The following is a 25,862-nucleotide window of genomic DNA, read 5'->3' on the forward strand; positions in this document are numbered from 1 at the left end:
CATTGCACTCCAGCCTGGGCTACAGATCAAGACTCCGTCTCAAAAAAAAAAAAAGTGATGCCCGACTCCCACATCCAGACATTCTGAATTAATTAGTATGGAGTGTGACCCGAGCAGAGGAATGTTTTTTCAAGTCCCATAGTTCTAATGTGCAGCAAAATCTGGGAACCACTGGGTTATGTCAAAAAATGATAAATTATTTCCCTAGTAGGCAGTTGGAAGACAACCATAGGGCTAGCTCAAGCAGGAAATCCCTTAAATTGCATGCTTAGACCAGAAATGATTATCATATTCCTAAATGCATTTTTGGATACTGTTAAATGAGGGAAAGTGGATACTGAAGTTGGAGGGAAAGACTTGTCAACTGAAATAGTAAATTTCTTTGATTTTTTACAAAACTACACATTTTTGTAGTTCAGTAGTTATCAGTATATAAAGACCATTTTTAATATCTTATCTGTCATTTCTTAGATAACTGCCTCATCATCAATGTAACTTCTGTAGCTACTCGTTATCCTTCTCCAACAATACTTCCATGATGTTTGACTTGTCTTTTGACAGCAGATCTGACCATTCCTGAGTTTACTCACTGTAAATGTTAATCTGCCTTACACTACCCCTGGCCACTTTAAATTTGCCCTTTCATTATGTTGCTCAGTTATAGCACCTCTGGGTTTTAAGAGTTTCTTTAGAATTCTGCTATTCTTCCTGGTGACTATGAATTCAACCATAATTAACCTTACCAGAGATAAGCTTTGGCAGCCGCAGAATCATATAGCTCATCTATTTAAGAATCAGAACCTCAGGCCAAGTGTAGCTTGTACCACCTACACACTCTGGGTCTGTGACTCACCTTACTCACCAGTTCCTGCCTTTTAAAGATCATGTGGGTTATACTTAAGCATCTTTTCATAATGAGGTGTGGGCACAGACTGGAATCTCTTAGGTTTGTCTTTGGTTTTATTATAAATTGCTGGGACTACTATGGCTTCCTTATTGGATTTCTCTGATTTTACAGTTCAAATGTATGTCTTTAATTAGAACCTGAATTAAACAGGGAAGTCAGGGACTCCCAACCTCAGTGGCACCATGGTAATGGGAGTGAAGAGGAGGTTGCAAGCTCCCATTATATTCTTTTGTTCTGTCCTGACATCCTCTTCTTTTTTTAAAACCTTAGCTCCAGCTGGCAAAAGTGTTAAATCACTTACTGGAATTTTAAAAAATTGTATAGTTTTTAACCTTGAGCCAGGCAACAGGTAACAAATGTTGACTCGTTTAACCCTGAAAGCCCCTTAAAGAGGGGAAAATAGGTTCTGAAAGGTTAAATAGCTTGCTGGAGTCATAGCTAGTAATGAAAGAGCCAGGACTCCAACCCAGGTGTTTTGGCTCCAGCATGTTTTTAACCATGAGGCTTTGCTTCCACTCTTCACCTTAGATTTAAGTAAGGGTAGAGAAGGAACATGATAACCAAATGCTCCTTCGAAATGACTTGAAAATGCTGTTTGCCCTGTTCCCATCCCAAGGTCAGCAGGGATGCATTAGAGCCTGACTTCTTCAGTCTCCCCTCAAAGCAGCAGAAAGTTCTTTTTTTTTTTTTTCTGAGACGGAGTCTCCCTCTGTCGCCCAGGCTGGAGTGCAGTGGCACAATCTCGGCTCACTGCAACCGCCACCTCCCGGGTTCAAGCGATTCTCCTGTCTCAGCCTCCTGAGTAGCTGGGACTACAGACGCCCACCACCACTCCCAGCTAATTTTTGTATTTTTCTCCCAGAGATGAGAGTTCACCACGTTGGCCAGGCTGGTCTCGAACTCCTGACCTCGGCCTCGGCCTCCCAAAGTGCTAGGATTACAGGTGTGAGCCACCACGCCCAGCCAAAACTTGATAATTTTCATTGCAGATTTCCAAATGTTAAACAAGCATGAGATGGCTCTGCTTAATGCTACTACTTGTCATGCCAGACTGCTATTGACTCTAGTGGGGATGGTACCACGTGAGGGAGGCTGAAGAAGAGATGTGGAGCCAGTGAATGAGACATAGGGTTTATTGTGGACTTACATTACACAACAGTCCAGGAGCAGTGGGCTGGACAGGAAAATTGCTCCTTTTTTTTTTTTTTTTTTTTTTTTTTTTTTTTTTTTGAGACGGAGTCTCGCTCTGTCGCCCAGGCGGGAGTGCAGTGGCGCGATCTCGGCTCAGTGCAAGCTCTGCCTCCCAGGTTCACACCATTCTCCTGCCTCAGCCTCCCCAGCAGCTGGGACTACAGGTGCACGCCGCCACACCCAGCTAATTTTTGGGTGTGTGTATTCTTAGTAGAGACGGGGTTTCACCGTGTTAGCCAGGATGGTCTCGATCTCCTGACCTCGTGATCCGCCCGCCTCGGCCTCCCAAAGTGCTGGGACTACAGGCATGAGCCACCGCACCCGGCCAAAAATTGCTACTGTTTTTTAAAAGCATGCAGTCTAACATGTCATTTTCACATAGCAACCTCTACCTAACAACTTCCACTTAACCCAATACAAAGGGCCACCATCCCCTATACAGCCTGCATTCCAAGGAATGGGGCAGGGGTATGGACATCCGTCATTGATGATAAGGAGTCAGTCTCTGGACTGGCCACTCCTGGATTCCTTAACTTGGAACTCCAAACATACATTCTTCTTAGACCACAGGGTCACTTCCCAGGGTATGCCTGAGTTGTTGTCAAGTATGTCTGCCATAGACTGCTACTCAGGATGGTAGAAAAGGAGCTGAGTGGCAGGGCGCGGTGGCTCACACCTGTAATCCCAGCACTTTGAGAGGCTGAGGCGGGCAGATCACTTGAGGTCAGAAGTTTGAGACCAGCCTGGCCAACATGGCGAAACCCCATCTCTACAAAAATAGAAAAGTTAGCTGGGCGTGGTGGCACACGTCTGTAATCCCAGCTACTCAGGAGGCTGAGGCAGGAGCATGGCTTGAACCCAGGAGGCAGAGGTTGCAGTGAGCTGAGATCATGCCACTGTACTCCAGCCTGGGCAACAAGAGCGAGGCTCCGTCTCAAAAGAAAAAAAAAATTGAGCTGGGTGCCTTGCTTGTTGACAGATCTAGATTTTAAAATCTTTTTAGGGATAGAAAATAAGGAACAGTCAACTATGGCCCACTGCTTATTTTTGCATGGCCTCAAGCTAGTAATGATTTTTATGTCTTGAAAGGTCAGAAGGAAACCAAGCCCTGATACAAAGCAGCCTGTATTAAAGCACTTCTAGGTGAGAGGTGTAAATGTGAAATAATAGGTTTGCATTAGAGCAGTGGTTTGTGACTTTTGGGTGGAAAGTCACAGATCCAAACTCTAGAATTATGAACTCTACCCTAAAAATGCTCATATACAAAACAGCCTGTTCCATTCCCAGGCATCTCAGGCCCCAAAGTAAGAACCTTATTACTGTTAATATTGTTACTGGTCTGCTCAGGCTGCCACAAAGGAACATCACAAGCTGAGTGGCTTAAACAGAAATTTATTTTCTCACAGTTCTGGAGATTGGAAATCCAAAATCCAGGAGACGGCCAGGGTTGGTATCTGGTGAGACATTTCTTCCTGGTGTGTAAACAGATAGCTGCCCTCCCCGTGTCCTCACAGGGCTTTTCCTCCGTGCCGGCAAACTCCTGGTGTGCCTCCCTCTTCTTACCAGGACACTAGTCCTGGTGGGTTAGGGACTCATTCTTATGACCTCATTTAATCCCCTTATAAAGGCTCTGTCTACAGTCACATAGCAGGTTAGGCTTTAACCTGTGAATTTTAGGGGGACAAGCTCAGTCCTTAACAGTGTAAATACTAAATCTGAGTATAATTGAGTACTGTATTTACAGTAAGGATTCCTACCTCTTCAAGTGCTAAGGGACCATGTGTTCCAGGTGGTTTGTTGCTGAATCCTAGGCACAGGTTGAGGATTCCTACCTGTTGAATTAACGAATGTTGGTGAGATCAGACTAATGCACAGGAAAATTCGTGGAGGGATATAAGGTGATAATTTAAATATCACAGATTAAAATATCGTAGCCATTCAGAAAAGAAACTCATACTAATCTAATCAAGGCAAGTTCTGCCCCCTCCCCTTTTTAAACAAGAAGACTACCTATGCTTGGAATTATTTGTATATAAGAGGATATTGTTGCTGGCATTAGGACATTTACAGATTAACAGCCAAAGCCAGAGTTCAAGTGGCTTATACAGAGTATGGGCAGATGCTGGAAAGTTAGGAGGAGAAACTGAGACCTGGAGCCTTAAATGGTAAACTGTGTGTCTAAGTTTGAACTGGAAAACCATTCATAATTTTGGCAGAAAAGAAAGTGGTATATTAGGTAATTTAAAAAGTAACTATTTCAAAGAATTTTTTTTTTTTTTTTTTTTGAGATGGAGTCTCACTCTGTCACCCAGGCTAGAGTGCAGTGGTGCGATCTCGGCTCACTGCAACCTCCACCTCCTGGTTCAAGTGATTCTCCTGCCTCAGCCTCCCATGTAGCTGGGATTACAGGCACGTGCCGGCACACCTGGCTAATTTTGGTATTTTTAGTAGAGATGGAGTTTCGTCATGTTGGCCAGGCTGGTCTCGAACTCCTGACCTAAAGTAATCTGCCCACCTTGGCCTCCCAAAGTGCTGGGATTACAAGTGTGAGCCACTGTGCCTGGCCTATTTCAAAGGATTCTGAGTAATAAAATTCAGGGAAACGTACTACAATCTACAAAATGATTCAGCTAAAATAAAATAGCTCTGATAAAGACAGGCCCATGTGGTTTTTGTTTGGTGGGAGGGGGACAGTTTACATCATAATGCTACCTATTTCTCTGTGTAGAATTTGTATTGTCCTAAGCTGTGAACTAGCTCAAAGCTGAAAACCCTGTAGGACCAATCCTCTAGCAGCAGGGATACCCTCAACTCCATTTTGAAGAAAATCTGATGAAAATTTAAGGGATTTTGTGTCCAAGTTGAGCACTCTCTCCTTCACTGTTTGAATCTGCCTTTCAAAAAGTCATTTGGAATTGAACGGTTTACATCAAAATTACATTCCTAACGGATTCTAGTTTGTCCTTAAAATGAAATTAGGTGTATTTATAGAGAATTCTGGTAACGCATGTAGTATTAGGTGTTTAGGTTTAGCATAATAAAGGCTAATGCAATACAGAGTTCCAATAACAGTATGTTTTAATCTAATAGGGCAATATTCTAAATAACAAATATCAGAAATGTTAAGCAATTCATTTATTTTTTTTGAGACAGGGTCTCATTCTGTCACCCAGGCTGGAGTTGCAGTGGCATGATTTCAGCTCACTGCAACCTCTGCCTCCTGAGTTCAAGTAATTCTCATGCCTCAGCCTCCCAAGTAGCTGGGACTACAAGCATCAAACAGCATGCCCGGCTAATTTTTTGCTATTTTTTGCAGAGATGGGGTTTCGCCATGTTGTCCAGGCTGGTCTTGAACTTCTGGGTTCAAGCAGTCCACCCACCTTGGCCTCCCAAAGTGGTGGGATTACAAGCATGAGCCACCGTGCCTGGCCTGCAATTCTTTTTTTTTTTTTTTTTGAGATGGAGTTTCGCTCTTGTTGCCCAGGCTGGAGTGCAATGGCGCGATCTCAGCTCACCGCAACCTCCGCCTCCCGGGTTCAAGCGATTCTCCTGCCTCAGCCTCCTGAGTAGCTGGGATTACAGGCATGTGCCACCACACTGGGCTAATTTTTTGTATTTTTAGTACAGATGAGGTTTCTCCATGTTGGTCAGGCTGGTCTCAAACTCCCGACCTCAGACGATCCGCCTGCCTCAGCCTCCCAAAGTGCTGGGATTACAGGCACGAGCCACCGCACCCAGGCCCCTGCAATTCATTTTTTACGTTACATAAATGTTTTGTTGCTTCAACAGAAGAACAGATGCCAGGGTGCTCTTTTAAAAAATTTATCTATGTAAACACATCTTAATACTAATTTGAGTTACTACTTTTATTCTTTATTGTCACATTTTCCAAGTTTTGCGCATTCAAACTTGGCAAACATCATGGAGATTTGTACAAACATACATATACATATATACACACATATTTATAGCCCCAGCTTCCTCATTAAACCTTGTGCTCAGGCTCCTGTTAAAAGAGGTAAAATGGTGAGAAGATAAAAATCAGGGAAAACATGAATAAATGCTGACTGACAAATCTTGTTGTTATGAATTTGTAAGGCAGACATTTTAAAGCAAAATCCATTACCTTGCTAAAATTTCCACTAAGCTACAGCTTCAGATATTTACAAGAAAAATAAATATCTTTTAACAGACTTCAATGTGGTTTAACAGCAAGCTAGCTGAGGAGTTGTATTTTGTTGTTATTTCAGGTAACTTTTTATTAAGAAACAGTTAATATTTCAGTGATTACAATTTCAGGTGTTCAAAACTCAAGAAGGGTCATCATTATACTCTGAAGCAGAATTCTTCAGGTACTCATCTTTAAATTACTACCCAAATCTATCACAGTCACATTCAGGCTTTCAATTTTTAAAAACATTTAATGTTTGGTAACTAAAGGGTAGATGCGATTAGTGTACTCTAGGTCGTTTGATTTTATTTTTTTCTGTAGGAGCTTTCCTCTTTTGTGATAATCCAGTCCCAAGTTCCTTATTATTCTGAATAAATGAAATAGCTTCTGGTAGACAGTAATTTTCTACATGAGGAGGTGATTCCTATAAAAGGAAAAATAAGTGATTTTTTAAAATGATTTCAAACATTTACGTGATCTGGTAATAGATTTTTTCTTTAAATCTCAGACCTCTCAGGGATGAATCTGACAAACTTAAAGGAAAACGCATATTCATTCCTAGGTTCCAGCAAATTAAACAAAATGGACCCTGTGGGACAAAGTCTCACCTTTTATCAAAGAAATACGTGTATGGTTCAGGTAGAGTGGGACTAGCTCAGATCTTACAAACATTTCATATCGGTGTTTTTAATCCCCATTTTTGAGATAAAATAAAAAAGGTTAAATGAAAACAACCAATGTCACATAACTAGCAGGTAGCAAAGCCAAATTTCATAACTGATCTGACTCCAAAACCCTTGCATTTTCCCCCCACAACCATTTCCCAACATAGAAATGGATCTTTTCCTCCTTATTATAAGTGTAATAAAACTTAATTTTCTAGCAATATGGCAGACTGGGCAACCTGAAAATGAATCACCACAAAATACCAAGTAAGTGCCTTTTGATTCAATTCTTCCATGGATAACAGCTACAAATTCTGACCAAAATATATTAAAAGCAACCATAGAGCCTGGAGAATAAACGAACCAAGCAAATGGGGGGCTGGGGACGCAAACACAGTGTATGAAGTAAACTGCCTGTTAAACAACACAGTACTCTTTGGAGGAGCAAAGGAACAATAGAACCTAGAGTTTCTTTTTTAGGGGGAGATAAGGGTCTTGCTGTGTTGCCCAGGCTGGTGGCTGGTCTCAAAAATGACACATTGAATACAAGGGAACAATTCAAATGACCATCACTGATTTCTCAACAGAAACAATGGAGGCCAGCAGACAGTGAAGTCTTTAATAGAAGAAAAAAACCTGTCAATCTATAATTCTGTATCCTGCAAAACTGTCCTTCAACAATGAAGGTAGAATAGACATTTCATACAACAGAAAGCTAGAATTGATCCCCAATCAACCTGCACTCCAAACTAAAGTTAGTTCTTCAGGCTGAAGGAAAATGTTATCAGATGGAAACTCAGATCTTCAGGGAAAACTGACACTCAAACTGGTATACATGAGGGTAATTATAAAATACCATTTTTTATTTTAGTTTCCTCAAAATGCACAGAATTGTTAAAAGCAAAACCTATTTAAAGTAAAATCTTATTTGGGGCTATAAGATGTAGATGTAAAATATATGACAACTACTGCATAAAGCAGAGGTCAGCACACTTTCTGTAAAGGCTCAGACAGAAACATTTTAGATTTTGTGGGATAGATGATTTGTGCTGAAACTACTTAACTCTGCCATTATAGTGCAAAAGCAGCCATAGAAAATACATAAATGAATGAGTATGGCTGTTTTCCAACAAACCTTTATTTATAAAATAGGCAGTGGGCCAGGTTTGGCCAGGTGGCTATAGTTTACTGACCCCTGGTATAAAGGACAGGGGAAGCAAATGAACCAACTTGGATGCAAGAGATCTACCTTTTTTCATTTTTTTTTTTTTTTTTTTTGAGACAGAGTTTCGCTCTTGTCACCTAGGCTGGAGTGCAGAGGCACGATCTTGGCTCACTGCAGCCTCCGCCTCACAGGTTCAAGTGATTCTCCTGCCTCAGCCTCCCAAGCAGCTGGGATTACAGGTGTGCGCCACGACACCCAGCTAATTTTTGTATTTTTAGTAGAGACACGGTTTCACCATATTGGCCAGGCTGGTCTCGAAATCCTGACCTCAGGTGATCTGCCCACCTTGGCCTCCCAAAGTGCTGGGATTACAGGCGTGAGCCACCATGCCCGGCCTCAGGAAGTAATTTGTAATCTACATATAAACACTTCTCCCTCCAAAAGGTAAATATATTTTTGCTTTAGAAGGCCAATGGATAAAATAAAATTCTAAAAATATTAAACTAATACAAAAAAAGCCAAGAAAGACAAAGAAGAACAAGGACAAAGAACAAATAGAAAACAAACAGCAAAAAACCCCATCCCTAAATCCAATCATATCAATAATTACATGATGGACTAAACACTCCAAAGAAAAAAAAAGCAAGGCCCAACTATATCCTATCTACAAGAAAGCCATTTTAAATATATGACACAGACAAGTTTAAAATTAAAAACCATGCAAAGAGATATCATGACACAGAGTAAACAGGAAAAGGCTATATTAACCTCAGATAATGTACATTCAAGGCGGAGTAAGCCCAGAGATACGTGTTATAACAAAGGATCAATATGTGAAAATCAAAGAAATTATATATGGGTAAACAACTAGCAACAAAGTTTGAAATAAATGGGGTAAAAGCTGACAAAATTAAAGAGAAAAAACAGACAATTCCACAAACAGCTGGAGATTTTAGTATCAGTAATTGATATAACTAAACAAACAAAAAAACCCACATACACAGAAAATCTGATCAACATTATCAACCATATTAACCTATTTGATATTTTTAGAACACAACACCCAACAGCTGCAGAATATAAAATCTTTCACATATATGATATGTTCATTAAGATAGATGAAGCTGGGTGATAAAACAAGTCTCAATAACTTTAAAAGAATTAAAATTATAGAGTATTTTCTGTGATTACAATGGAATTCAATGGGCAATCACAAATTAAAAAGATAGAAAAAAAAATCCTCTTATATTTAGGAACTAAACAACAGACTCCTAAATAAGCCAGTTATAAATGAACACAAGTTGACAATATCAGGAATAAACTTATTTATTTATTTATTTATTTATTTATTTTGAAACGGAGTCTTGCTCTGTTGCCCAAGCTGGAGTGCAGTGGCGTGATCTCGTCTCACTGCAACCTCTGCCTCCCAGGTTCAAGCGATTCTCCTGCCTCAGCCTCCCGAGTGGCTGGGACTACAGGCACACGCCACCACACCCCGCTAATTTTTTTGTATTTTTAGTAGAGACAGGGTTTCGCTATGTTGGCCAGGCTGGTCTCGAACCCCTGACCTCAAGTGATCTGCCCACCTCAGCCTCCTAAACTGTTGAGATTACAGGCGTGTGCTACCGTGCCCAGCCAGGAATAAACTTATTACACTAAAAGGATAATAAGAATATTATGAAGAACTTTATGCCAACAAATTTGATAAGATGAAATGGATATATTATTTGAAAAACACCAGTTATTAAAAACTGACATAAAATGAAACAGAAAATAGGAAAAGCGCTGTATCTAGTAAAGAAAATTCGTTACAAAAAACCACATATAAAGAAAACTCCAGGCCGGGTGCAGTGGCTCACGCCTGTAATCTCAGCACTTTGGGAGGCCAAGGTGGGCGGATCACCTGAGGTCAGCCTCAGGTCAGCCTGGACAACATGGTTAAAACCCCGTTTCTACTAAAAATACAAAAATTAGCCAGGTGTGTTGGCTCATGCCTGTAATCCCAGCTACTTGGGAGACTGAGGCAGGAGAATCACTTGAACCTAGGAGGTGGAGGTTGCAGTGAGCTGATATTGCCCCACTGCACTCCAGGCTGGGCGACAGAGCAAGACTCCATCTAAAAAATAAAAATACAAAAAAAGAAAACTCCAGTCCAGGTGGCTCATGCCTATAATCCTAGGACTTTGGGAAGCCGTGGGGATCACTTAAGCCCAGCATGGTGAAACCCCGTCTCTACCAAAAATACAAAAATTAGCTAAGACTGGTGGCGTGCGCTTGTAGTCCCAGCTACCCAGGAGGCTGAGGTGGAAGGATCATTTGAGCACAGGAAGTGGAGATTGCAGTGAGCTGAGATCAAGCCATTGCACTCCAGTGTGGGCAACAGAGCCAGACCGTGTCTCAAAAAAAAAAAAAAGAAAACTCCAGACCTTCAAACATTCAAGGAAGAAAGAGGCATCTTACACAAACTCTTCGAGAAAATCAAGGGAGAACTTCCCAACTTGTTTGTGATGCCAGCAAAACGCTAATACCAAAAGATGACAAAAACATTACAAAACAATGAGAATTACATACCAATATCCCACCCTGAAAACAATTTTAAAAATTTTTACTCAACTAAATCTAGCAATATATACAAAGATTAATATGGCGTGATCAAGTGGGACTGATACATGAAACTTAACATTTGAAAATGTAATTCCCCATAGTAATAGAAGGAAAGAGAAAAACCTTATAACAACTCCAACAGAAGTAGAAAAAGACATTTTATAAAAGTTAACCCCAATTAATGATGAAAAAGAAATCTTAGTAAACTAGGAATAAAAGGACTCTTCCTCAATCTGGAAAAAAAAATCTATGAAGACCCTATAGCTGGTGAAATATTGAACACTTTCCACCTAGGCTAGGGAATAAAGACAAGGAGGCCCAATCTCACCACTTCTATTCAGCAGCATACTTGAGGTCCTAGCCACATAAGACAACAAGAAATAAAAGGCATAAAGAAGGGAAAATCTACAAATCTCTTTGCAGATAAAATGATTGCTTATGTAGGAAAGCCTAAGGTACTAATTGTACTAAGTGAATTTTATTAAGATCATAGGGTATAAAAGACTGACAGGCAAGGCACAGTGGCTCACACCTGTAATCCCAGTACTTTGGGAGGCCGAGGCAGGTGGATTGCTTGAGACCAGCCTGGGCAACCTGGTGAAACCCTATCTCTACCCCTTCCCCTTGCCAAAAAAAAAATTAGCTGGGCATGGTGGCACATGGCTGTAGTCCTAGCTACTTGGGAGGCTGAGGTGGATCTCCTGGGCCTGGGAGGCAGAGGTTGCAGTAAGCCAAGATCACGCCACTGCACTCCAGCCTGGGCAACAGAGTGAGACCTTGCCTCAAAATAAATAAATAATAATATACAAAATTTATATTCTTTTGGATTGGCAGCAAATTGTAGAAAAAAATCTAAATGTAAATCTAGAAATTTTTATTTACAATAGCATCACAAAATAGGAATAAATTTAACAAAAGATAGGTAAGTTCCCTTACTGAAAAACCACAAAATGTTGCTGAGAGAAATTAAAGAAGACCTAAATAGAGACATTCTAGGTTTATGGAATAGAATGCTCAACACTGTAAAGATGTTTACTGTCCTCAAGTTGGTCTATAGAGTCAGTGCAATCCTAATCTTAACCACTCTAGGCCTTTTTTTTTTTTTTTTTTTTGTAGAAACTAACAAGCTGAGTCTAAAGTCCATATGGAAATGCAAAGGACATGGAACAGCTAAATAACCTTGAAAAAGACAACTAAAATTGTAGTCTTAATACTAGCTTCAAAAGTTGCTGTACAGCTACAGTAATCAAGACACAGTAGGAAAGGTATCAACAAGTAGATAATGAAACAGAATAGAGACTCACAAAAATACGATCATTTGATTTTTTATCAAGATGCCAAAGCTTTTGTGGGAAAGGAAAATCTGTTCAACAAATGGTGCTAGAACACCTAGATATCTATATGGAAAAAAACCAGCCCTAGTCCATACCTCAGAGCATTAAGAAAAATTAATTTGTAATAGGTCATAGAGCTAAACATAAAAGCTAAAACAATAACTTTTTAGAAAAAAATATTAAATACACACACACACACCAACAAACAAACAAACAAACAAAGAGACCATGAAAGAAAAAGTGCTCGATGTCATTAGTCATCAGGGAAATACAAATTACAAACACTCTGTACAAATTACAATGTGCTCCCACTATAAACCTACCGCATGGCTAAAAATCAAATGACTGCCAACACTAAATGTTGGCAAAATATGGAATAACCAGAAGGCTTACACAGATTGAGTATCCCTTATCTGAAGTGCTTAGAATCAGAAGTATTTCAGATTTTGGAATATTTATATTTACTGGTTGAGCAACCGAAACCCAGAAATCAGAAATGTTTACGATTTTGTACCATTTCTAACTTTTGGATTTGGGATGCTCAATCTGTATATTATTGGTGGAAAGTGTAAAATGGTAAAAATCCCTGTATATTTTTAGTAGCTTTACTAATGATAACCAAGATGACAAACAGCTACTAAAAATATACAGGCTTTTTTATGGACATATTTTTTCATTTTTCCTGGGTAAATAGGACAGAATTGCTGTGTAATAGAATAAGTAAATATTTCGTTTTTTAAGAAGCTGCCAGGCCTTTTGTCAAAGGGATTTTTACCATTTTACACTTCCCACCAATAATGTACAGATTGAGCATCTCAAATCCAAAAGTTAGAAATGGTACAAAATCCTAAACTTTCGAGCACTTATGTGATGCTCAAGGGAAGTGCTTATTGGAACATTTCTGATTCCAGGAGTCCAAGGGTCCATCAATAGGAAAATGAATCAACTATGGTATATTCAGACAAAGAAATACTACTCAGCAATAAAAAGGAATGAACTACTGGTATACACTACAACTTGAATGAATGTCAAAAACATCACGTTGAGTGAAAACCTTAGATAAAATCGTGGATACTAATCAGTATGCCCTCTGCTCTATAACGGCTTCACATTTGTGTTTTAGGCATTCTATTAAATCCTGAGCAATCTCCAAGCACAGCAGCAAAATCACAAAGCTGACTTTGAGTGTTGGCCTCCCCTTATTTCTGTATCATCCCAGTTGAAATCCTTCATAGATTATGATTATGAAATCTAATCCTTATGATTATGTGTCATGCCTGCTGACTCCTGATGGCCTTTTGGGCACTCTGGTGTCAGAAGATTTTTCTTACCCCATTCAAATTACACAACACAGGCCAATTCTGAATATGAGAGTAGTAAGCCCACCATATAGCAAATGCTTAAATTTACCACAGTGTCTAACATAGGTATTTAATGTACATGAAAGCAAACAGTCAAGAAAACTAAAGGACCTTTGGATAAATGTTTCTCCTTGGACTCCTGGAATCGATTTCTGCTTTATATTCCAACATTTTAAAGGGTATTTTTAAAGCCTTTAGAGGTACCTAGATTTTTATACTCTTCTCATATTTAACTTCCAAGCTAAATGTTTACATAATATGTTCATTATAATAAAAAACACAAATAGAATAAAACTGAAAGGGCTGGAATAGAAGAGAATAACAGGAGACTAATCTTCTACTAATCATGAGCTGAAGGTTTTGTTGTGCAGTTACTTATCTATGCACATAAACGTATCTCTGGTAATGAGGAGGTCAAGGATAGAATCTCACAAACCTGCATGAGATAATCAGCAATGTATTCTGTTCTCAAGCAGTACACGTTCTGGGCAGCAGCTTCTGCTATATTAACTCCTGAGTCATCTGGTTTCAGTTTATTCAAGTCAGAAAAAAGATGTGTGGCCTCTTTAAATAAAGGTACAGAATGACCAGGTAGCACCTAATGAAAAAACAAGGTAGTATCACAATCTACCAGTATTCCAAAGTAGTTCAGCTGTATAATGTGTACTTAAGGATTACCATTTCAAAAAGTAGAGAAAATGAAGAACTCATCATAGCAATCTTGGTTAGATGATTATTCATGTAAAAAGGTCAGTAAATTAATTTGATACAAACCTTTGCTCCTCCTGACTGAAGAAGGCGTTTGAAGCCTGCTTCTCGAGACTGATCCACATGTAAAATAACCTTCCACCCACTAAATGCTCCCTACAAATAAAAAACAATCAGTGGTGAAATCATTTGGAAAATAACAAAATAATACAGATAATGCATGATTTTATCTGTAGACTTAGTTTTGTCAATAAATCTTATAAACTTTACTTTTGCCACAGTATAATTATCTCTGGCCAGAACACTGAAACGTGAATCCATGGTATCTGGCACATAGTAGGCCATCAAGAAATACGTGAGGAATGAAAAACCATTAATGATTAGGTAACATTAAAACAAAGCAGTGTGATTGATGTTTAGTCTTTTCTAGTATTTTTTTCTTTTGATTAATCAAGGGAAGAGCTTCAAGCAGAGCTCCTTAGGTTAGATGAAGCCTGCGTTTCACTTCTCTTAAAAATGTTTACAAACTGGAAACAAAATATTTAGGAAGGGAATAACAACTAACAAAAGCCAGTGGAATTACTCTAAAAGAGAGGGTATCATGGCTAATAAGGATTTGGAGATATCAGAGAACTTAGAATACAACATGAAAGACTATTTAACTCAGGGGTTCTGATAATGGTTTGGCTGTGTCCCCACCCAAAATCTCATCTTGAATTGTAATCCGAATGATAATCTCCAAGTGTTGGGGGAGGGACCTCGTGGGAGGTGATCAGATGGTGGGGGCAGTTCCCTCATGCTGTTCTCCTGATAGTGAGTTCTCAGGAGATCTGATGGTTTTATAAGGGGTTTTTCCCCACTTTGCTCTGCACTTCTCTCTCCTGCCACCATGTGAAGAAGGACGTGTTTGCTTCTTACATGACTGTAAGCTTCCTGAGGCCTCTGTAGCCATGTGGAACTGTGAGTCAATTAAACCTCTTTCCTTTATAAATGACCCAGTCTCAGGTGTTGCTTCATAGCAGCGTGAGAACGAACTAATACAATTAACCTTTTTGTAAGCCATGGATCCCTTTGGCAGTCTGGTCATTAGACTACTCTAAATAATAGCTGTATTGAGATATAATTCCCAAACCTTATGGGTGATTTTTAGAAAATGTTAAAATTAAAATATAAAGGATTACAAAAGGAAGCCATTTTATTGAAAGTTATCAAAATATTAAAAACAAATTTGTTGTGTAATTATAGATGTGCTTTATATTAAAGTAGCAGACAATAACTAATATGGCTTTCAGTGCTTTGACAAAACCTCAGATATGTGGTCTTCTGGCCAAGTGTCTGTGATTTCATATTGTGGGAGCATTCCTTATATCCCTGGGGTTGCAGCTCTCTGTTTGCTGTGGCTGAACCAAAACAGAAAGGACATGCTGATTTCTACAGAAGTTATGATTCCATGAAAGAATCTGAGATGAAGAGTGCTATTATGTTTCAGAGTGCAAAGTGATTTTGGAATATAAAGAATTTCTTTGGACTGAATCATTAATACACAGAAGTTTGTCTTTGACTTGTGTTCCTGAACTATGAAACATGAACATGTGGCCTAATAGTTTCTCTTGATAAATCAACAGTTAACAAATAATATAAATAACTAAAGTACTGATGAACACAAACAGTATTTCAAGATGCTTGCAATTACAATGCAAAACAGAAACATGTGATTTCTGTTAGTGCAAAATTACAGGTACAGTTGATAGTGTTGTGATTTGTTGCCTAGACCTTTCATTAAAGGAAGTGCTAGTTTTCTCAAAGCATGATGTAGGCTGATTAAAATTTAAAAAAAAAAAAAAAAAAGACCGGAAGTGCTAATTTTCAATTAGAGGTTAGTAAAAATAAGGATGTATTTTTCTCCCCATGCAAAGTACATGGCCTTCCCAGATTTGATCTACAAATTCCTTTGAGAAGGTCTGTGGACTCAGGTCAAGAACCCCTGACATTAGATGCTGAAAAGATTCTTTGGAAGAAATGCAATATGGGCCACATTTTACATATATAAATTATTTTTAAAAGAGCCATCAAAAATTTGGGGAAAAAAGACAAGTAGAATCATTATTTCCTGAAGCACATTCTCTTTTAAAAAAAATGTGAAAGAGTCACAATATTGAATGCTATTTGTATTACCTATATAATTGTGTTTTAATACCTCAACAATGCCAGATTCTTGTCTTTGCTGGATTTTTTTTCTCCATCTCATTGCTGCAAGTGCTAGTCTTCGTTGCTGTACATTGATTCCAGTCAGAACATCAAGTATGGAACTACTTCCCCATTCATAGTCTTCTTCCTAGAGAATTTGTCCAACAAACCTGAGTTGTTACAGTCTGGGGAGCCACTGTGCAACATACAGGGCTCCTCAAGGAGCCCAAAGTCTAATAACTGTTAAAGCTATACATTTAATTGTTACAAATACAGACAGTACTAAGTAAATATTGTTTTATGAGCATGGAGGAAATGTAGATTAGTTTCATATAAGAGTCAAGTATATTTGGCTTTTAATTAGAAATCAGAAAAATACCACATACATTTTTAAGAAACAAAATGATAGCTATATCTTGGCAACTGGTAATATTCAGATGGACAAATTTCACCTGCTGTAAGACTAACTTCATGAAAGGACACAGTCTCAGAGGAGGTATGTACTGATAACTTGATTATCTGTCTATGTAGTAAAGATGAAAGCTTACAATGAGATAATCTTGAAACTTTCTAAGAAAATGTTATTTCAATTAAAAACAACACTAACATTCAAATTAAATCATTTAAAAAGTGATTAAAGGTGAACCTGGCTCTGCGAAGTTTCGTTGTTTGGCTTTGTTATTGAAAAAGCTGGTATACTCTAACTGGCCATATTTGGTTATTTCAATTTTATGAGCAGTCAGCAAATGTGATGAAATCTGAGATTTACTTTTTTAAGTAAATAAATAAATTTGTCTGTTTCTTCCTTTAGAGACAGGGTCTTGATTTGACCTCCTGGGCTCAAGCAATCCTCCCACTTCAGCCTCCTAGGTAGCTGGGACTACAGATGGGAACCACCATGCCCAGCTAACTGTTTTTATTTTTTCTAGAGATGGAGTCTTGCTATGTTTCCCAGGCTGGTCTTGAACTCCTAGGTTCAAGCCATCCTCCTGCCTTGGCCTCCCAAAGTGCTGAAAGTGGCATGAGCCAGCCACTGCCAGCCAACACTTACTTTTTTTTTTTTTTTAGATAGGGTCTCACTCTTGTGGCCCAGGCTGGAGTACAATGGCATGATCTCGGCTCACTGCAACCTCTGCCTTCTGGGTTCAAGTGATTCTCCTGCCTCAGCCTCCTGAGTAACTGGGATTACAGGCACTCACCACCATGCCTGGCTAATCTTTGTAGTTTTAGTAGAGAGGGTTTCACCATGTTGGCCAGGCATGTCTCGAACTCCTGATCTCAGGTGATCCACCCACCTCGGCCTCCCAAAGTGCTAGGATAACAGGTGTGAGCCACTGCACCCGGTGGACACTTGCTTTTAAAGAAAAATAAACTTCCACAAATCTGAATACACACCTGCACGAAGTGTCCAGCAGTCCTGCAGGCTTCAAGGTAGGAGCGATGAAGCACCCACTTCCCAGCTGCCACTGAGGCTAAATACTTCTCGTTTCGAAGTGGATGTCCCACAACAATGTGTGTACAGGTGGGATCAAAGCACTGCTTTTCTATCACCAATCCACCTTAAGCAGAGAAAAATGGATTGTACTTTATTGATTCCCAACTTCTTTCTAGGAAAAATGTAATCTCAACTACGCATAGAAATTATTTATAAATAAAATGCCCCAAACCATTTAAACCAAAAAAACTTGACTTACTTAGAATTATTTTACTTTATATACATATATATATGTATTAAAATGTTTATTATGAACATTTTAAATACAAAAGTAAATAAAATAGTAAAATGAACCCCCACACATATACTAGCTACCTATATTCTAAAATTATCCAAATTCTGCCACCTTTTTTTGCTTAACTACTTAATTTTATTCTGTTTTAATTTTAATTTTTTTGAGACAGGTTCTCACTCTGTCACCCAGACTGGAGTGCAGTGGCATGATCTTGGCTCACCACAACCTCCAGCTCAAGCGATTCTCCTCCCTCAGCCTCGCAAGTAGCTGGGATTACAGGCACACACCACTATGGCCTGGCTAATTTTTGTATTTTTAGTAAACACAGGGTTTCACCATGTTGGCCAGGCTGGTCTTGAACTCCTGACCTCAAATGATCCACCTGCCTCAGCCTCCCGAAGTGCTGGGATTACAGGCGTGAGCCACCATGCCTGGTCCTGCTTAACTATTTTAAAGCAAATTCTAGATACCATGTTACTGACCCCTAAGTATTTCAGTATGCATCTCTAGAATATATGGAAATTTTCTTAAACAGCCATAATGCCATTATCAGATCTAATAGGATTAACAAAGATTCTTTGCTGTCTCAGTACTAAATCCTTGTTCAATTTTTCCTGTTTGTCTTCACTTGGATTGTTATAATTAGGATACAAAAAGAAATAGAACATAAACATGAGCCACACGCTGTAGTTGGTTATGTCTCTTAAGTCTCAATTACAAAAGCAGTTTTCAAGCACCGAATATGGGTAACCAGGGAGATGGAAGTAAGATAGGGGCATCTGCAGACTTTAAAACAGGAGGAAATTTTTTATGAGTGGAAATAATGTCGGCAGACCAACAGAGAAGCTTGGGAAGAAAACACACACAGATAAATAAGAGATGAAGCAGCAGGTGGGAAAAAGCAATAATTGAACCTCTTCTCAGATATAAATGCATGAAGCCTGACTTTGAGGAAAGAAGAAGGCATAAGTAAACATAAGCTTATGTAAAGCATGGCTGTTGATTTATAGCTTAGAGGTTAACTTGACCACTGGTTGGGCAGAGTTAGTTATATCAAGGACTTTTTTTTTTTTTTTTTTTGAGACGGAGTCTCACTCTGTCACCCAGGCTGGAGTGCAGGAGTGCAGTGGCGCGATCTCGACTCACTGCAACCTCTGCTTCCCGGGTTCAAGCAATTCTCTGCCTCAGCCTTCTGAGTAGCTGGGATTACAGGTGCCCGCCACCACACCTGGCTAATTTTTGTATTTTTAGTAGAGACGGGGTTTCACCATGTTTGCCAGGCTGGTCTTGAACTCCTGACCTCATGATCTGCCCACCTCAGCCTCTCAAAGTTCTGGGATTACAGGTGTGAGCCACCACACCCGGTCATATCAAGGACTTTCTAAGATTTTAACAAAACATTCAAACTCATGATTTAAGATGACTCTAATAATAATAGCAGCAACACCTTCTGAGCATTTATTTTATGCCAGGAACTACTTAAAGTGCTCCAGATTACTAACTCATTTAATTCTCACAACCATATGAAGGAAGGTTACTATTATTATCTGCATTTATGCACATGAAAACTGGTAGAGCACCTTACTCAGGATCACAGAGTGACAAAAAGACAAGAAGGTAAAATTCCATATTAATATATAAACATCAATTTCCAATTCTACATAACAAACTTATTCTGCGACCCAGACAACATAATAGACTGATTTATATACATATATATCAGTTGGCCACAGTTGCTTCATTTATAAAATGAAGGATTGGGCATAATATCTATTATAATGTCTCTTTGCATTCTAATATTGGAAAACCTCTAGAGTTACAAGACTCTGAATTCCAACATAATCTGTACTCATCTGCCTCTGCTTCCTGCCCTCTTCTAGATCAATTCTCTGCTAATTGCTGTCACTCTTCCCCAAAGTTTGCAGAGATGGAAAAATCTATAGGAGACTGACACTTGAAGCCTTTCATTTTCATGAGTTCTGGGTAAAGCTTAGCAATTCTGACTTATAACCTCACCTAAGTTATCAGGGAACTGGGAAACAAAGTGTTTTGTATGAGTAAAGTTTCTAAGAAGAAACAGTTTTTCCACACCGGGGCCTGTCCTGGGGTGGGGGGAGGGGGGAGGGATAGCATTAGGAGATATACCTAATGAAAATGACAAGTTAATGGGAGCAGCACACCAACATGGCACATGGATACAAATGTAACAAACCTGTAGGTTGTGCACATGTACCTTAGAACTTAGAGTATAATAATAATAATAAAAAAATAAAAAAAAATAAAGCTGTGAGCTTCACCCGCAAAAAAAAGAGAAAGTTTTTCCAAGTATACAACTGTATTTGACATAAATCTTTTTTTTTTTTTTAAAGCATATCATAGTTTTCCACATTCTTAAAAAGACAGCATTAAATAACATTTAATCTTTTCCTGATACTTCAGGGCCACTATTAAGAACCATTATTTTGGCCAGGTGCGGTGGCTCATGCCTGTAATCCCAGCACTTTGGGAGGCCAAGGTAGGTGGATCATCTGAGGTCAGCAGTTCGAGACCAGCCTGGCCAACATGGTGAAACCCTGTCTTTACTAAAAATACAAAAATACAAAATTAGCCAGGCGTGGTGGCGCACACCTGTAATCCCAGTTACTTGGGAAGCTGAGGCAGAAGAATTGCTTGAGCCCAGGAGGCAGAGGTTGCAGTGAGCTGAGATTGTGCCATGGCACTCAAGCCTGGGAGACAGAGCAAGACTCTGTCTCAAAACAAAAACAAAAAAACCCCACCAATATTTCTTAATGTTTTCTCTTTCCATGCTGAGCTGCCAGATTAACTTCTCTTACTATAGTTTTCCTAACTCTATAGAGCTTTGTTCAACAGAGTAGCCACTAGACATCTGTGGCTATCAAACACCTGAAGCACAGTTAGTCCAAATTGAGATGTGCTGTAAGTTAAATAAACACTAGATTTTTACTTTATATAAAAAAAAACTCACTGATATTTTATCTGATCACATATTGAATGATAAATATATGTTTAAAGTTCATTTCACTTGTTTCATTTTACTTTTTATTTTTGAGATGGGGTCTCACTATGTTGCCAGGCTGGTCTTGAATTCCTAGGCTCAAGCAATCCTCCTACCTCAGCCCCCCAAAGTCTGGGATTACAGGTGTGAGCCAATGCACCCAGCCTCTTTTTAGTTTTTAAAATGCAGCTACTAGAGAATTTAAAATGACCTATGTGGTTCACATTCTGTTTCTATTGGACAGTGCTGCTCTAGTATACCAGATTGCTCTTTTACTATGCTGCTTCTAGAATGATGTCAGGTGGAGAGCCTGACAACCAGTGGAATAAGAATAATGTTACATAAGAAGGAGCTCTCTTCCACACTGAATTCTTTCTTTTCCCTTTTTTTTTTTTTTTGAGACAGAGTCTTGCTTTGTCACCCAGCCTGGAGTACAGTGGCGCTATCTTGGCTCATTGCAACCTCCGCCTCCCAGGTTCAAGCGATTCTCTTGCCTCAGCCTCCTGAGTAACTAGGATCACAGGCATGTGCCTCTACGTCTCGCAAATTTTTTTGTATTTTTAGTAGAGACAGGGTTTCACCATGTTGGCCAGCCTAGTCTTAAACTCCTGACCCCAGGTGATCCGCCCACCTCAGCCTCCCAAAGTGCTGAGATTACAGGCACGAGCCACCGTGCCTGGCCTCCACACTGTTTCTAACTGGAAACAAACAAACAAAAAAACAAGAGGGAGCTCCTCTCTAGATATTATTAACCTTTCAAGTTCATTAAAATGTGGTTTTATTTATATAGTAAGTCTTTAAAGCTTCATTAGTGAATGAATAGTCAAACAGCACAGAAGATTCTTAAACCTCAACTGCTAGATTCCATTTGAATTTTAAATCCCATGATCTACTGACTTTAGAGCTTTTTAAAATCAAAGTTCCAATGCTGACTCAATGTATAGCCTTAGACAAGTTACCCATGTTCTTTTCCTCTACTTCTAGACTTTACAAATGATATTAATATTGACTACATTTGACTTCCAAATATGGTTATTATATGGGACATTTTGGATTTAAGTAAAATACTGGTACCTAGTTTCTCAATCAGATGACAATAGTCAATACGTTCTTGAGGATTCAGAGATGATAACTGAAATATGTACTGTTTTTTTAATTCTTCATGAGTCTCCTCTATCGTTATAATCTGGAATGAAAGTTTTACTTTAGAAAAAATTAACATTAAAAATGATCAGATACACAGTTCTTTTATAGTGGTATTTTACTCAGTCTTCTAAGTTATGAAATATACAAATAATGATACAATGCAAAAAATAGTTTTCAACATTTGATGAAGCCTTGATATTGACATCAACAAATTTCTAATACAGCCTAACAGCAGTATGCAAAAGCTGTATCACCATATTAAGGATCAACAAACCTTTTCTCTAGGGTGCGGAGCCACAGGGGGGTTGGCGAGTGGAAAGGCAATACTGGGGGCTTGAGGCGTAGGGATCAGGTGGCTGTCTTTTATGGGAGTTTCCAGTTCTTCAGAGATTGGGTGTTTGGGAGCTTCAGTCACACGTATGTTTCCAGGATCACAGACAGCTGAGGACAATAAAATGCTGCAGTGTGACAGGATCCAAATAAGACTAAAAACAAATTCTAGGAAATATTCTCATCTGTCTTAGTCAAGATGAAGTCAAGCACAAACTCTGGAATGTAAAAAGTACAGGCAAAAAAGTATCCTATCCCCAGAACTTATAAATAAATGCATCCCATCTGCATGTGACAATAATAACAATAAAGAAAAAATGCAATTTATTAGCATTAAACAGAGCAAGTGTGTTATCTGTGGGCTTCTCCCAACATTTTCCTTAAATACCAAGTTTTCATTGTTAAGTGTAACCCAAATTTGTAACATGAGAGCAATTCTACACTTGGAGAAAAGCAGAAGCAGAGATAAATCTATATATCTAATGGGAGGTCATCATGCAATGTGAAAAAGAAGAAAAGGAAGAAAAAAGATGAGAGATAGGAAAATTTTGTTTTTAAGGTAAAGCTCAAGGAAGAAAAAAAATAGGAGAATTCAGAAAGAAACTCATACAATCCAAAGAACAAATGTAGGTATGTGCTAGGCAGAATTCAAAAGACTTAAATGAAAATAAGATGATAGGAAGAAAAACCAAGCATTAACTCCACAAACACAAAAAGGGTTAGCTAGAATAAAAGAACAATGGTAGACACCATGTCTAGAAAAAAACGCCCAATTCTAAATTTCCAAATTTATGAAAATGTTTTTCAATTTACTGATGAAGTACCTCAATTTACAAATTATTTTTCTGGCTCAAGTTTAAACCAAAACCAGAAATATCTACGAAGTTTTTTTTGTTTGCACATTCAGATCAGAGAACTACAACATGCTCATCTGTTTATTTTTAAGAGGTCAACATGTACTTAATACAAACAAATGCAAAGATTTCTTTCTTGTTACCCTGTTTAGCAATTTCTGAATCATGTAAAGGCTTTTGAAAAGGAGAATCCTCCAAGTTTTGAATGTCAACCTGAAGCTCAGAGTATTGTGTGGGACAACTAGGCCACTGCAAATTGCTGGCAAGCCTTGCTCTCTCCTCCCTTGCTGTAGGGTCATCCCAAATGATCTGTTCATTTTGGGAAGGCTCTGTGTTGACATCAGGTACTGTCTGACGAGACTGCCTAAGGAATAGAAGTGACAGTTTAAATAAACAGCAATAACAAATCCAAACTCATTAAATCCATAAGTTAGACCATAAAAGTTGTGGCTCACCTTTATATGCCCACCATCTAGCACACAGTATGCATTAAAAATATTAAATAAATGAACCTAGGGACATTTTTTTTTTTTAAAAAGGTTTAAGGTTTCTTCCAGAAAAGTTATCTGTTTTAGCTAGGAACACATATTTTGACTACATGTCTACAGAACTAAAACTTCAAAGGAGAAATTCAACAGTGTCAAGAAATTTTTTAAAAATACTAAAGTAATTGGTACATTTAAAAATGTGATTTTCCTTAATTATACAGGTTAGGGAAACAGGGTAATGTTTCAAACACTATGGTTACTTTACTTAACAGTAGTTATATTTTTTAATTACTTGAAATTATAAGCACTATGATTACATGGGAGGCTTGCTGTAAAGGCTGCCTTATCAGAAGGGCCTTTTGGCTATTGGTAACCACTTTCCAGAGTCTACGGTGGAACAGCAATATGCTGAATTACAGGGAAGTGCATTTTATGGTGCGATTGTAATGATTCCACGTGACAGTAAATAGAAGTCCTATAATTTTCTTTATATTCACTCATTCATTCATTCTTAGTAAAAATAATTTACCATAAAACTTACACTGTGGAGAAGCAAAAAAAAAAAAAACAAAAAACAAAAAACAAAACAAAACACCAAAACCCATAAAACAATTTACCAAAGGAACCCCCAAATAGTTCCTTTGCTTCAAAAATAAAGAATATAGCCTTTTATTCTCACACTATATTTATTTACTCTGATTTGGTACAGGATTTAGGTTCTCTATAATGATAAAACATGATCTGAAGCATATTAAAAAGCTACTTTACTCAGTACTGAGATAATGAACTGCCTCATGTAATACAGTTAGCGTAAGATAAATGCTAGTTTATCTTATACTTAATTCAATTAGTCAACTGAAAATACAAGTCCCATAATTCTTATCACACAATTATAGATTTTTTTCTTCTATCACGAAAAAGATGAAGTTATGCAACTGAGCTTAAGTCACATCACACTAGAAACTGTAATCACCTTTTCTAGAAGATAAATTTTACAAGGAGAATACAAAATGCATGCAAAATCCCAACAAAAATAACTTTAAGATTTTACATATTGCATTAGAAAAAGACTCTGAAAAAATATATATGTACTTATTGTTTAATACAAATACTATTGAATACTAATACTAAAGAGCAGAGAGAACTGCCTACTGAATCCATTTCAAATGAGGCAAATTAGATCTTAAAATCATTTCTTTCTCAACGGAGGTAATAAAAAGTATCAATCATGCCTCACTGTGAAGCAGGTGCTGCTGTAAGACAAATCTCCATGTCTGCTCCACCTCCGAGTAAGAAATCTAGAACTGCTGGGAGCAAGAAATGGAAGGACAAGCTAGAACGAAAAATCTAGTCAGCAGAGAGCCAAAAGCAATAGATAATACTGGAATATAATATTTACTGTTTGGGCTAAATAAGGCCTAGGCATATAACCCCTTCACTAGTCTTGATATTTAAATTTCAGCTTTTACTGCATATTGGGGAAAAAAAGAAAAAAAAGCTAAATTAGGCCAAGCTCATGGAATTGAGTCAGCAGCAGGTACGTAAATCCTTTCTCTCAAGTCATCTAGTCTTTCTGCCATCAGTGACAGGTACACACCTCAGTGCCTCTAGGACTCTACTTCGTCCACTGCGAGCAGAGCGAGTGCTGTCAGGGGTTGAAGATGCGCTGTTACAACCACTTCTTGAAAGGGAAGTCCTCTGCCCTTGGGGTTTCACTATTGATGTTGCAGACATTATCTCCTGTAACTGCTTCTGAAAGTTCTCTCTCATCTCTAAGGTCTGTGTCAGAACTTGAAACAAACACAAATACACCATTCAAGGTAAGTTCCTCTTTTTTACCATATCTTACATTAACTATTTTGTTTAGACCTGGTTGAACACAAACTTATTGACTTGACATTTACTGAATATTAACTACAGGCTATAGTAATGTACTAAAACTATGAATACTGCAGAACATAAAAAGCAGCCCTTACCACAAGCACTGTATATGAAATAACTAGGA

At 38.4% G+C, this 25,862-nt stretch overlaps 1 protein-coding gene and 1 long non-coding RNA gene across 9 annotated transcripts in view; both read right to left on the bottom strand.

Annotated features, from left to right (window-relative positions):
• Nucleotides 1-3,474: 3,474 nt before the first annotated feature.
• On the bottom strand, nucleotides 3,475-4,377 carry LOC124909437 (uncharacterized). Its single transcript, XR_007096110.1, has 2 exons — nucleotides 3,856-4,377; nucleotides 3,475-3,762 (listed from the first exon to the last, which is right to left on the bottom strand). It is a non-coding gene; the product is annotated as an uncharacterized LOC124909437 (long non-coding RNA).
• Nucleotides 4,378-5,537: 1,160 nt separating this feature from the next.
• TOPBP1 (DNA topoisomerase II binding protein 1) overlaps nucleotides 5,538-25,862 on the bottom strand; it is a 61,704-nt gene continuing 41,379 nt past the window's right edge. For 4 of the 8 annotated variants that reach the window (XM_047447355.1, XM_017005636.3, NM_001363889.2 and 1 more), the window contains exons 20-28: nucleotides 25,455-25,647; nucleotides 23,513-23,733; nucleotides 22,460-22,626; nucleotides 22,114-22,225; nucleotides 17,689-17,852; nucleotides 16,304-16,441; nucleotides 14,173-14,262; nucleotides 13,835-13,996; nucleotides 5,538-6,693 (exon numbers count right to left, since the gene is read on the bottom strand). In XM_047447355.1, coding sequence (XP_047303311.1) covers nucleotides 6,550-6,693; nucleotides 13,835-13,996; nucleotides 14,173-14,262; nucleotides 16,304-16,441; nucleotides 17,689-17,852; nucleotides 22,114-22,225; nucleotides 22,460-22,626; nucleotides 23,513-23,733; nucleotides 25,455-25,647 — 1,391 coding nt within the window. In that variant the 3' untranslated portion in view covers nucleotides 5,538-6,549. Of the gene's footprint in view, nucleotides 6,694-13,834; nucleotides 13,997-14,172; nucleotides 14,263-16,303; nucleotides 16,442-17,688; nucleotides 17,853-22,113; nucleotides 22,226-22,459; nucleotides 22,627-23,512; nucleotides 23,734-25,454; nucleotides 25,648-25,862 lie in introns of those variants that run through there. The other 4 variants (XM_047447358.1, XM_011512357.4, XM_047447356.1 and 1 more) reach the window with 3 other exon arrangements.

Source organism: Homo sapiens, chromosome 3 (assembly GCF_000001405.40).
Source record: "Homo sapiens chromosome 3, GRCh38.p14 Primary Assembly".
NCBI classification, from domain to species: domain Eukaryota; kingdom Metazoa; phylum Chordata; class Mammalia; order Primates; family Hominidae; genus Homo; species Homo sapiens.